At 40.8% G+C, this 13,896-nt stretch overlaps 1 long non-coding RNA gene across 1 annotated transcript; it reads right to left on the bottom strand.

The window, feature by feature from the left end:
* Positions 1-7,597: 7,597 nt before the first annotated feature.
* On the bottom strand, positions 7,598-11,091 carry LOC105372756 (uncharacterized). Its single transcript, XR_007067828.1, has 3 exons — positions 10,596-11,091; positions 9,111-9,294; positions 7,598-7,678 (listed from the first exon to the last, which is right to left on the bottom strand). It is a non-coding gene; the product is annotated as an uncharacterized LOC105372756 (long non-coding RNA).
* Positions 11,092-13,896: the final 2,805 nt, after the last annotated feature.

The raw sequence follows: 13,896 nt of genomic DNA, 5'->3' as shown, positions 1-13,896 counted from the left end.
ATCACTTGAGGTTAGTTCAAGATCAGCCTGGCCAACATGGGGAAACCCTGTGTCTACTAAAAACACAAAAAATACTCGGGCTTGGTGGCATGTGCCTGTAAGTCCAGCTACTCTGGAGCCTGAGGCATGAGAATCGCTTGAATCCAGGAGGCGGAGGTTGCAGTGAACCGAGATCATGCCACTGCACTCCAGCCTGGGCAACAGAGCAAGACTCTGTCTTAAAAAAAAAAAAAAAAAAAAATTACCCTGAACTACGTTCTTCCTGAGCTGAACTCTATTCCTCCAAACTAGGAGACTTTCTCAGTGTTTTCAACCTTCCCTCCTTCCATTTGTAAGATGGTCACAGATGTTTCATCTTGGTTCATTCATTTAAAACAGCTATTGCGTGCCTACTGCATATACTCAGACAATGCCAGGCACTAGCAATACAATGGCTAAAAAAAAATTTTTTAGAAGATGATCCTGGCCGGGCGCGGTGGCTCACGCCTGCAATCTCAGCACTTTGGGAGGCCGAGGCGGGCAGATCACGAGGTCAGAAGATCGAGACCATCCTGGCTAACACGGTGAAACCCCGTCTCTACTAAAAATAATTTAAAAAATAGCCTGGCGTGGTGGCGGGCGCCTGTAGTCCCAGCTACTCGGGAAGCTGAGACAGGAAAATGGCGTGAACCCGGGAGGCGGAGCTTGCAGTGAGCCGAGATCGCGCCACTGTACTCCAGCCTAGGCGACAGAGCAAGACTCCCTCTCAAAAACAAAAAAAAGATGGTCCTAATTTCAACACCTTGTATGTTAGGTCTCTGGATAAGCATTACCACCTTTAACAGCGGTTTATACAGTACAAATTGTATTTTGCCACAGATCTGCAATTTGAGTAGGGCTCAGTGAGGAACGCTCCTGTCTCCACACAGCACTCACAGAGGCAGCTGAACTGAAGGATGAGGAATGTGTTTCCAAGATGGCGCCCTCATGTGGCTGGTGAGTTGGTGTTGGCTGTCAGCTTGGGAGTTCGGCTGGGGTCCTCAGTTCCTCTCCACAAGCAATGTGCACCTCCATGTGGCCCTGGCTTTCTCAGAGCATGGTGGCTGGGTTTCAAGGATGAACATCCCAAAGAGAGAGGCAGAAACTGTATTGCCTTTTATGCCTCACCCTCAAAAGTTCCATAACATTACTTCTGTCATACCCAGTTGGTTCCAAGGCAACCACAAATGCCTGCCTAGGTCAAGGAAAGGGGACATAGATTCCATCTCTTGATGGGAAGAATGTCAAAGAACTTGTTTTAAAACTACCACATTTGGATAAATATACACATTCTATTAGGGATAAGTATGGGTAATGGCCATTTCCTGTCTTGGTCAGCTCAGCATAATTAACTAGTAATGAAAGACAAGGATGTTAATTCCCTTGGTAGGGCAATTTCTTTTTATAATTTCCATTCTGAACTCCAGGTTCCCAGTTGCCTGCTGAATATTTAGCAGACATCTCACGCTTAATGTGTCCAACATCTGACTCCAGATGTCTTGCTCCTCCTTTAGCCTTTCACTTCTCAGTAAATGATAACTCCATTCCTCCATTCCTGCACATACAGGTGCACACTGCACATGGAGAGGAACTGAGGCCCCCAGCCAAACTCCCAAGCTGACAGCCAACACCAACTCACCAGCCACATGAGGGCGCCATCTTGGAAACATACCCCCATCCTTCGGCTCAGCTGCCTCTGTTGAGTGCTGTGTGGAGACAGGAGCATTCCTCACTGAGCCCTACCCAAATTGCAGATTTGTGGCAAAATACAATTTTTACTTATAAACCACTGTTAAAGGTGGTAATGCTTATCCAGAGACTTAACATACAAGGTGTTGAAATTAGGACCATCTTTTTTTTTTTTTTTTTTTTTTTTTTTTGAGAAGGAGTCTCGCTCTGTCGCCCAGGCTGGAGTGCAGTGGCGCGATCTCGGCTCACTGCAAGCTCCGCCTCCCGGGTTCACGCCATTTTCCTGCCTCAGCCTCCCGAGTAGCTGGGACTACAGGCACCTGCCACCACCACGCCTCTGTGGATGCCGTGTGGAGCAGACAGGAGCATTCACCACTGAGCCCTACCCAAAAATCGCAACGCACTGGTTATCTGTTCACCTTATTCCCTTGTCTTCTTAGGTCTTTGATCAAATGTCACCATTTTGATGATGCTTTTCCTGACCATGGTTGCCAAAACTTAACTCTCTCCCCTGCCCTAACAGCATACGAAGAAGCATTTCATATATCCTTCTCTTCATCACTTTTCTCCTGGGCACCATCTGACTCATATGTTTTACTCTTTTATTTGCTTATTGCCTTCCTCTCACAAGAACGTAAACTTCGCAAAGACAAGATTTTTTTTTGTCTGTCTTCTTCACGGATGAATCCTTAGTGTTTAGTCTAGTGCCTTGTGCATGATGATGCTCAAGGAGTAGTTGTTGAATAAATGAGTGAATTGAAATTGGCACACTTTGGCAAGTAGCACAGAGAAAGGATCAAAAAGGTAGGAAAATGGGAGGAAGGAGAAGGACTTACTAAAATATTAGACACTAGAAAGTGAAACTGCTTTTGCAAAAATTATAACTGAGGAAACTATGACAGTGAAAGAGATCAAACCTAACTGACTCCATCTTGCTTCTAACCTTCAAGCTGTTCTTGTTCATTCCTTGGCATAGGCTGAACTAACCTTGGGAATAAATTTAGTTTATAGTTTAACTCTGAAACAAAATTGATAATAACCCTTTCCCAAGACTAACATATTAACTACAAGATTAGAAACTACAGTTTAGGGGCCATGCGACCTCCAGCTCCAAGAGTCTGAACCTCCCCAAATTGCTCCTGGGACTAACATCACTACTGTAAAACCTAAGATCAGTGCTTGAGATATTTTGCAGACCCTGCACTCGACGCACCAGCTGACACCACCCAGACCGGTAATCTGGCTCAACCAATTCTGCAATCCCACCCAGGAACAGAAGACAGCAAGAACTCACTTTGACCTCCTATGATTTCATCTTTAACCCAACCAATCAGCACTCCCCACTTCGAGTCCCTACACACCAAATTATCCTTCGAAACACCAGTCCCTGAATGCTCAGGGAGACTGATGTGAGTAACAATAAAACTCTTGTCTCCCACAAAGCTGGCACTGCGTGAACTATTCTTTCTCCTTTGTAATTCCCCTGTCTTGATAAATTGGCTCTGTTTAGGCAAGCAAAGTGAACCCATTGGGCGTTTACAAAATAACCAACATAGCAATATATTTTTTCTTTCTCAAGATCCATTCATAAATGGATTTGAATATTCTTAATGGTAGATTGGCTGGACCAAAGTGAAATGTCTATGTTTATGTCAGTTTCCTATGAGAGTTTCCTCTCCATGGACCTGGGGGAAATGGGCTGGAGGACCTGGCAGAGAAAAACAGGCTTCTGATAAATTGCCTCCACTGTTCCCATTCATCCTTCAGAACACCAGAGGGTTTTATCTATGAGACAGCTCCCCTTTCACGTTTAGCAATAGAGCCCTAACAATAAAAAAAGGAAAGCAATCATTTGATGAAAATTATACCTATTACTGAAGAATTTTATTTGTCTTCTTAGGTCTTTGATCAAAATTGTTCTTAGAAATTATTATAAAAGCTTTGGTGAATTACACAAAACCCTGGAATACAGATACTTAATAGAGGAAGAAAAATGGCAAACTCAGAGAAATAGAAACAACTCAGGAGAATTCAACCAAAGGCACATATAGCCTAGAATCTTATTAAAGATTCAAGAATTCCAGAAAGGGCCAGACGCGGTGGTTCACACCTGTAATCCCAGCTCTTTGGGAGACTGAGGCGGGTGGATCACGAGGTCAGGAGATCGAGACCATCCTGGCTAACATGGTGAAACCCCGTCTCTACTAAAAATACCAAAAAAAACAAAAATTAGCCGGGCGTGATGGCGGCACCAGCTACTCGGGAGGCTGAGGCAGGAGAATGGTGTGAACCCAGGAGGCGGAGCTTGCAGCGAGCCAAGAACGCACCACTACACTCCAGCGTGGGCGACTGAGTGAGACTCCATCTCAAAAAAAAAAAAAAAAAAAAAAAATTCCAGAAAGGTCGGGCACGGTGGCTCATGCCTGTAACCTCAGTACTTTGGGAGGCTGAGGTGGGCAGATCACTTGAACCCAGGAGTTCAAGACCAGCCTGGGCAACATGGTGAAACCCTGTCTCTACTAAAAATACAAAAAATTAGCCCAGCATGGTGGTGCCCACCTGTAGTCCCAGCTACTCAGGAGGCTGAGGTGGGAGGATCACTTGAACCTGGCAAGTCAAGGTTGCAGTGAGCCAAGGTTGCACCTCTGTACTCCAGCCTGGGCAAGGAGACTCTGTCTCAAAAAAAAAAAAGTTTGGGAAAGCAAATCCCTCTTCAAGAAAAAAGACCTAAGAGAGACGAGTTCCTGTAGACCAGGAATCTCTGGAACCAGGGCCACACAGAGGGAAGCGAGCAGCAGGCCAGCAGGTGAAGCTTCATCTGTAGTTACAGTCGCTCCCCATCACTCACATTACCGCCTGAGCGTGGCCTCCTGTCAGATCAGCCGCAGCATTAGATTTTCATAGGAGCACAAACCCTATTGTGAACTGCGTATGGGAGGGATCTAATTCGTTCTCTCTTTATAAGACTCTAATGCCTTCTGATCTCTCACTGTCTCCCATCACCCCCAGATGGGACCATCTAGTTGCAGGAAAACAAGCTCAGGGCTCCCACTGATTCTACATTTTGGTGAGTTGTATAATTATTTCATTATATATTACAATATAATAATAATAGAAATAATGTGTCCAATAAATGTAATGTGCTCGAATCTTCCCGAAACCATCCTCCCCTCTCCACTCCTGGTCTGTGGAAAAATGGTCTTCCACAAAACCGGTCCCTCGTGTGCCAAAATGGTTGGGGACCACTGCTGTAGACTCCACCTTGGCAATTTCAATGTATTTTTATAATCACATGTCTGGTCCCTCCTGGCTCATTTGAAACATGGGCTACTCAAAAGAGCCCTGAATGAATGAATGGAAGGCAGATTCTTCTTCAAACAGAAAGATAATTCAAAAAACATCTGACTCCCAGGAGAGGTTCTCAGCACTGTACCCCCAGAGCTTTCCCCAACAGAGGTCAACTTGCGTGCAGTCCCTGGCCTACAGATTCTACTTTTATTAACTCCACAGTAGGGTTTATAATCTCTTCCCTTTCAATAGGCCACACAGACAGGGGACTAAGAACATTATTCTGCATTCTCTTCATGCTATGAAGTACCCTGCCCCATCCCCAATAGACTTCACCCCATAATATAATTTTGTTGAGGCAACAGAATGAGTTTATGCTCCCAATTTTCACTGTGTTGTATAGCAGAGCATGGGATTGTCAGAGCCAAGGAGGCTTGTTTGGAACTGACAGTTGCTACATTACTAGGAATAATAATAATAATTCTTCTAATTCTAATGATTTTATTGTCTGAAAAGCAAAAACTCAGGAACAAAGAGGTAAGGAAAGGAAAATACATACATCATGGTAGTACTCTCTCCCTCCTCCTTCCAAAAGGGGATTAAAGGGAGAATTTTGTTGTCTCAGTTAAAAGAATGCAGGTGCACCATGGGTCTCAGCTGCAGTGGGCAGAAGAACACATTAGTTGTCCTTGCCCTGCTGAAAGGTGCTTACCTTCTTTGTTTTGCCTTTTGGATATCAAAGCTAAAGGGGGCCTTTCTCAGCAGTTATCTAGAAGAGTGGAAGCAAAAAAGTTCAGCAGTATACATCCTGTCACCTCTGCTCTCCGATGACCATTTTCATGGAAGTTTGTGCTTTTATAGTGGAGAAGCAATTAGAATTCTCTCATTCTCTCAAAGGAGAGCTAGTGGAAAATTTTTCTTTTTCCTTTTTAAACAGTAGACAAAATTCTAAATTCTAACATCAGAAAACTTTGGGGGAAAGCAAAAAAAAAAAAAAAAAAAGTAACAGGACACAGATGTTTTCTTTTTTTTAAAAAAAGGACAATAGTCATCTAGAAAAGAACCCAGAATTGAAGTCCAAGACAGTTCAGTCTATTATGATGCAAACTGCTCTGAAACTGACATCCTCATTACATCTGCATTTTACTCAAGTAATTTCAGTGCTATCACTGTGTAGTCTGACCACTCATTTTTTTACTGTTTATGCTAATGGGTTTTGTGGGTGGTGGATTAGTTGCATTTTAATGCCCAGAGGCAAAAAGATGAAAATATTCAGATGGCAGTAATGGATGAAAAAACACCCTGCTGCTGGCAGTTTCAGATACAGAATTACATGACTCTTTTGTAAAATGTGTGTCGCTTTTGCTGGTTTAACTGTTAGGTTGGTGCAAAAGTAATGGCGGTTTTTACCATTCAAAGTAATGGCAAAAAACGCCATTACTTTTGTACCAAACTAATATTTTTGGCAATAACAGCCCCCAGTTCTACAGTGGCTTTTCCTAACAATTCAATGTCTCCTGCATAATATTTTTCTCTAAACCATCCTCTAAATCTTCTCTAAAATTTCCTAAAGTTGGCCGGGCACGGTGGCTCAAGCCTGTAATCCCAGCACTTTGGGAGCCCAAGGCAGGCGGATCACTTGAGGTCGGGAGTTTGAGACCAGCCTGACCAACATGGAGAAACTCTGTCTCTACTAAAAATAAATAATTAATTAAATAAATAAAATAAAATAAATTAGCCAGGCGTGGTGGCTCATGCCTGTAATCCCAGCTACTTGGGAGGCTGAGGCAGGAGAATCGCTTGAACCCGGGAGGCGGAGGTTGCAGTGAGCCGAGATCGCACCATTGCACTCCAGCCTGGGCAACAAGAGCAAAACTCCGTCTCAAAAAAAAAAAAAAATTCCTAAAGTTACAGATAAATCTGACAAATGTGTATGATTCCCTACACATAAATCTTTTTAATTTTCATATATGAGTGGATTTATTTAAGGGAAAGAAGAGAACATGACATTATTAAAAATAATTCTTGGATAGAGGTGGCAAAAGGTTTGAGAGTAAGGGTGAAGATTCTGGGCTTACATGCCAGCCAAGACTTGGGGAATATTCACTCTGGGCTGTTCAGTGGGTGAGTCTCTCTGTCTTAGCATTATAAAATATTGGATCTTACCCACTACCAATGTATGTTTCCTGGATTGGAAAGAAAGGAAAACTTGGCAGGCATGAATGGCCTCGTTGGACCTCGTCTTTTCTCTCCCTGTAGCAGAGCACAGTCCAGAAAGCAACACAAATGCCTCAGACTTTCCAAAAGTTAATGAAGTAATTGTCTGTTCTCAACTACCAGTGTGGAGCCATTTGAGATTAAAGTCAGATGAGCCAGGAGCTCACCCTGCCCTTTTGATACACAACCCAGTGATTTCACATCATTTCGAGGGCATTAGGGCCCCAAGGGATGTTTAATCAACCCCAACCACAGACTGCAATGGGTTTCTCTCATTTTTTTGGATTAGGGAGGGAGTAGTTGGGTGAGGTAGCAAGATCTTGTAGATGCCACAGTGCTTCTTGTAAATAACTATTTTCCAAACTGAATAGCAAATTGATCCTTGGAATTTTTCACGTTTGTTTTTTTTCTTTTTTTCTTTATCTCTGCCATCAAGAAAACCAAGACACTTCCTGCCAACAAACCTCTGTAAAGCAAGAAAGGTCAACATGAAACTTTTAATGGCTTTTTCTTGTACTTCCCAAAGAACATCCCAGGAGGGATTTTTCTATTGTTGTGGAGAACATGAAGCTACTCTTGTATTTACTGTTGATCGGGATGACAGTGGAGATGGCATTGACCTCAAACCAACAGCTCCTGATAAGATGCTATACACATTCCCAAAACAACACACACACACACACACACACACACACACACACACACACACACACACACAGAGAGAGAGAGAAGAAGGCTGGAGGAGTATGCTGACAACACAGCACGAGCTAGAAATGTGACCTTTCACATGAAACTTCTTGGTTTTATTTTAATTAAAGAAAAGTGTTTTTATTTTTATAAAGAAATATTCATATTCTTTCTTGGTTTCAGTTTGAAATGGTCATCATGTCTAAGCATTATGAAAATCACTAAACCAGACCAGAGATAGGATTTAGAACCATCCTGAAATAAATATTTAAGCTGAACATAATTAGCTTCATGATATATGTATTTCATTTTTTGTGTAAAGGGATGGCATTAACAGAAAAGGGGCAAAAGTTCTTATTAAGTAGACAGCATGTTCTACCGTGAGATGGAGATTAGGGTTATTAATATGAACCCCTGTCAAGAAGAGTCTGACAGTTCTTTATACAGGAAAAATAAGCCAATATTCTGAGCCCCAGGCTAAAACTTTGGCTTTTGGCAACATAGAGAACTGAAGCTTAACGCTGTTGAGAAAGGAGAATCCAGTTTCAAGAGCACAGGGCAAAAAAACGAGTTCATTGCCCAGGTCTGCCTCTTATGAGTGGACCTCTCTAGAATTCAATTTTACTCTTTCTGAAGAAGAGAAGCAACAAAGACTTAAAGAGATGAGAAAGAAAAGTATAGCAAGAACATCATCAGCTAAGGCACATTATTTTAAAATTGAAACAGTACTGTATTCCTGGTTTTGATGACTGTGCTATAGTTATGTAAAATGTTGTGCTATAGTTATACAGGGGAAGCTGGATGAAGAGTATACGGAGTACTCTATTCTATTTTTGCACCTTTTTTAAAGTCTAAAATTACTTCAAAATGCCAGCCACAGTGGCTCATGCCTGTAATCCCAGCACTTTGGGAGGCCAAGGCAGGTGAATCACATGAGGTCAGGAATTCAAGACCAGCCTGGCCAACATGGCAAAACCCCATCTCTACTGAAAATACAAAAATTAGCCAGGCATCATGGCAGGTGCCTGTAATCCCAGCTACTCAGGAGGCTGAGGCAGGAGAATCGCTTGAACCCAGGAGGCGGAGGTTATAGTAAGCTGGTATCTTGCCACTGCACTCTAGCCTGGGTGACAGCACGCGACTCTGTCTCAAGAAAAAAAAAATCACTTCCAACTAAAAGATTTAAAAAACATTATTATATGGTATAATACCTTAAAAAGCAGTTGGCAGAGACTCATGGAAATCCAGGCACAGTCTGTGTGAAACTGTCTCACGGTCTCTTTTCAAGGTAATCTTTGTGGCCACTGTCATTATTTGTAAATAGTTGAACACTGTAGTCCTCCTTATCTGCAGTTTCACCTTCCAGGGTTTCAATTACCTGTGGTCAACCATGGTCTGAAAACATTAAATGAAAAATTTCAGAAATAAACAACTCATTAGTTTTTAATTGCACGTGGTTCTGAGGAGAAATCTCAGATGAAATCTCATGTTGTCCTGCTTTGTCCTGCCCTGGACAGGAATCATCCTTTTGTCCAGCAGATTCACACTGTAGACACAACCCACCCATCAGTCATTGACACTGTCTGTTTCTGACTCCCAACCTTCGTCATCCTTGTGGCTTAATGATCCAGAATCACCTGAAGCAGATGATCCTCCCTCTGACAATAGGTCAGAAGGTCAATAGTAGCCTAATGCTAAGTCACAATGCCTACGTCATTCACATCACTTCATCTCAGCACGTAAGCATTTTGCCATCTCACATCTCACATCATCACAAGAAGGGTGAGTACATTACAGTAAGATATTGAGAAAAAGACCATGTTCACATAACTTTTATTACAGCATATTGTTACAATTGTTCTATTTTATTATGTTATTGTTGTCAATCTCTTACTCCGCCTAATTTACAAATTAACTCTCACAGGTATGTATGTATAGAAAATGTGCACTGTGGGTCTTAGAAGGTATGTCCCTCAGATAAGGGGGGACTACTGTACTCTCATAGGGGCTCAATAGTCATTGCCAATGAAGAAAATCTGAAGGTGTCCCTTTGAACCAATTTAGATTGAAATGACACAAAACATAAACTAAGGAAGAAGCAATTCATCAAAAACAATGGTATACCAGATAACTTAGAGACTGAGAAAGAAAAGTTAAACTCACTATGTGAAGTATTTTATTAACACTCTTTTAGGGGAAAATCAATTTGGTTTAAAACAGAAGGAATTTGGTATCTTCAGGCCCTATTCATTTTTGCATGGTCTTTGTAATCAGATTTCTGGCCAGTCTGCTGTTTACTTTCAACCATCGACCATGTCCCTCTTCTATGCACTGATTTTGAAATTTCATTAATGTTTACCAGCTCTCTCACATGGCAATTATGTTAAGTATTTTTCATAGAAGACTTTAACATATAATTTTAATTTTCTGAACTATTAGCCTTTTATCAACTCCCAAAATTACTTGATTTGTGTTAAGAAAACACATACATTTTATTCTAAATACTCTTATACAGATGTACCATGTAATAGTTTCTTGGCATTCTCAGTTTTCTAATTATTAAAAGTTTATACCCAACATTAAATGCATGTTCTGTTGCCCCAAATTGTGGTACAAGTCACCTGGGAACAGAAATACAGGTCAGTGCAGAGGCTACAGAAAAAAACAAAAATGTTCTTTCATAACATTCTCCAAACCTTTGGACAGCAGAGGGATCATTACATTATCGTTGAAACATTTGCAGGCAATAACTAAATAAATGGATGAAAGAAGCAAATTTCAAAAGCCTTGCTGGGATTACAATGCCTGCTTTTTGCCACTAGGAGGTGCTCTGAGGGCAATAGGAAGAGGAAGAGCTGATTGAGTTGCTTGGTCTCCACCAGGCTTGCAGAAAATTGACAAATGGGCAGATAAAGCAAAAAAGAGCAAAAGCCACAAGACTCCTTAGGCAGCATGAGCCAATGAATGGCATTAAAAGTGGAGAAACTGCCAATCAGCCAATATTTGCAAAATTAGTTGCAATACACTGAATTTTGTGTTCCTCCTAAAAATTCATATATTAAAATCCTGGCATCCATGATGATTGTATTAGGAGGTGGCGCCTTTGGGAGGTGAGGCCTTTTGAGAGTGACTGCCCTCATGGATGGAATTAGTGACCTCATAATAAAGACCAGAGAGAGACAATGGGGAGGAGAGTTCCTTTGTCTCTTGGGCCATGTGAGGACACGGTGAGAAAGCCATCTGTGAACCAGGAAGCATGACCTCACCAGACACTGAATTTGCTGGTGCCTTGATCTTGGCGGTCCCAGACCTCCAGATCTGTAAGAAGTAAATTTTTATTGTTATATGCCACCCAGTTTATGGTAGTTTGTTACAGCACCCTCAATGGCCTAAGGCACTAGTCATTTGAATATTCTGCTTAACAGCTATAATCTAAGCTCTAGGGTACATGTGCACAACGTGTTCTAGGGTACACATTGTGCACATGTACCCTAGAACTTAAAGTATAATAATAAAAATTAAAAAAAATTAAAAAAGAGAGAAAGCAGGAACATTTAATTTGTATTGAATAACATTTGGCCTTTCTTTAGCTATTTAGTAGAATACTATGCTCTTACAATGCATTTGTGTGATTTCTTCCTTCATTTAATGAACATTTACTGAGTCCCTACTATGTCCCAGGTACTGGGGATAGAAAAGTGAACAAAAATAGACAAAACACCTGCCTTTATGGTGTTTACATTTTAGTATCATTATGATAAATATTATTTATCATGCAGATTTTTACAGGCAGTTTTTAATTTCTTATAGTTTATGGATCACTTGAGAATATATTGAAAACTGTGGGTCTTATTCCTTTTGGAAAAATAAATAAATGAATACTAAATAGAAAAATGTACGAGTATATGTATATACAGTTTGTTATTTCTCAATATTAGCTGTAACTGTTTTTGCCATGCCTTCTGATAGTTCAGTTTTTGCCCTGTTTTGGAAGTCCTGAACCTATAATTTATATATTTATTGGAACAAGATGCAGGCAGATAAATTTAGACAACATCCCCTAATTCCAGATTATTTCAAAGAACCACTGAGCCGTCTTCTGGAATGCTGATGTTCATGTAAGTTATATGATGAGAGTCGGGGTCAGAGTTTTCCCCACTCTTTTTCTCTTTCTGGCCTCTTTTTCCAGATCACTAATTCCATCCATGAGGGCAGGACCTCCCAAAAGGCCCCACCCCGAAAGGCACCACCTCCCAATAATATCATCTTGGGTGTCGGGATTTTAACACATGAATTTTTAGAGGGGACACAAAATTCAGCCTATTGCAACTAATTTTGCAAATATTTGGTTGATTGGCAGTTTCTTTTTTTCTTCGAGTCTTACCATTCAATCGTTGGTTATGTTCCATTGATTGTTCATGCCTTAGCATAATAAATTGGGTTAAATTCTATTCTAATATACAGTCATGCTTTTTAACAGAAAGCAATCATGAATTGTACGAACAAAACACTGGCTTCAGCCGAAAATGCACCATTAAGTTATTGAGCTTTTAAAAGACACATGTTTAGACGGCAAATCTTTGGGTTACTATTATGTCATTTGTAGCATAACAAATTAAGACAAGCAGCATTCAGATGAAAGTATAATTAAGAAATACAGTTGGTTGCTGAGTTTTTCTGTCATGAAATTAGAAACTCATATTTCCACAACCCAGGGAGAAGAAATTTATTTACCACTAAATCAAATGTATTCACAACTAAGAAGTCATTTACGTAGTAAAGTGATATAAAGAAAGCAGTGGCTCAGACTTGTAACCTCAGCACCTTGGGAGGCCCACACAGGCCGATCACTTGAGCTAGCCTGGGCAAAATGGAGAAACACCATCTCTACCAAAAAAAAAAAAAAAAAAAACTAGCATGGTACGGTGGTATGTGCCTGCAGTCTCAGCTACTTCGGAGGCTGAGAAGGGAGGATCACCTGAGCCCAGGAAGTCAAGGCTGATGATCTTTCCATAGACTATGTACTCTAATTCTGAGTCATGTTCCTCAGATAAGAGTACAAGTCTTAACCTCAGAAATAGCAAGGAGAGGTGGAGGTGGAGGGGTGGATGAAGATCACACATTACTAAGCTATTGAATTTTAAGTATTCTGAAAGTCACCTTTTACTGTGGTGATGGGCATAACTGTTAATTTCAAATATTTTGTCATGCCCAACACAAAATGTCCCTGCGCCATGGTGAACCACCTTGTTCTCCATTTCTCAGTGGGGCCACTAACATAAAAATCTACCTGCTCTCCAGGTCAAGTTTCGAATATTGTAAATGAGGCCTTAGGAAATATTGTTTACTCTAAGTACATCTTTGACACCAAATATTGTCTGATATGTGTTGATCATAATAATAAAGAAAAAAATCACAAGAAAGGAAAATAAGTAATGAGAAAAGGTGGGAGGGCGGTACATTGGAAAGGAGGGAATATGCTTTTTTTCCTATGTATAACTGTGAATTATTGCTTTTTGCCTCCTAAGGAAAGAAAGTGAATGGCCTGACTTAGTGCGTGAAAATCTCCTAAGCTGGCAGTTCCACTAGTTTTATAAAAATCTGTCACTTTATGATCTCCATAACCAAACCAAACCCTTTCATATCATTTCTTAGAAACTTTCTCCCAGTCGGTCTACTACATTCCTCATGAGACTTCTCGACCCTTGCTTTTGCAGACCAGTTTCTCTGCCTTGAGTGGATGATGTGACTCAGGATATTCCTAACAGATGCAACACCAAAATTTTGTTTAATCAAATTATGATGAGTTAATGTCTACAAAAATGTATTCTGATGCAAGCCTTCCTGGATACATGGAATTTTTAAACAAATGATAGTTTCATACTCCAAGAAGAATAACAGCAGAACTCTGAAATATTAGATTTCCTTCCTTGTCATCCTAGCTGAAAACTCCCTTAATTCTCCATGAGGTTTTAAAGGAAATAAGCAAGTATAAAT

This window comes from Homo sapiens, chromosome 21 (assembly GCF_000001405.40).
Source record: "Homo sapiens chromosome 21, GRCh38.p14 Primary Assembly".
Lineage (NCBI taxonomy): Eukaryota > Metazoa > Chordata > Mammalia > Primates > Hominidae > Homo > Homo sapiens.
Note: the sequence above shows the minus strand (reverse complement) of the source record. Positions and strands in the feature narration are given on the sequence as shown.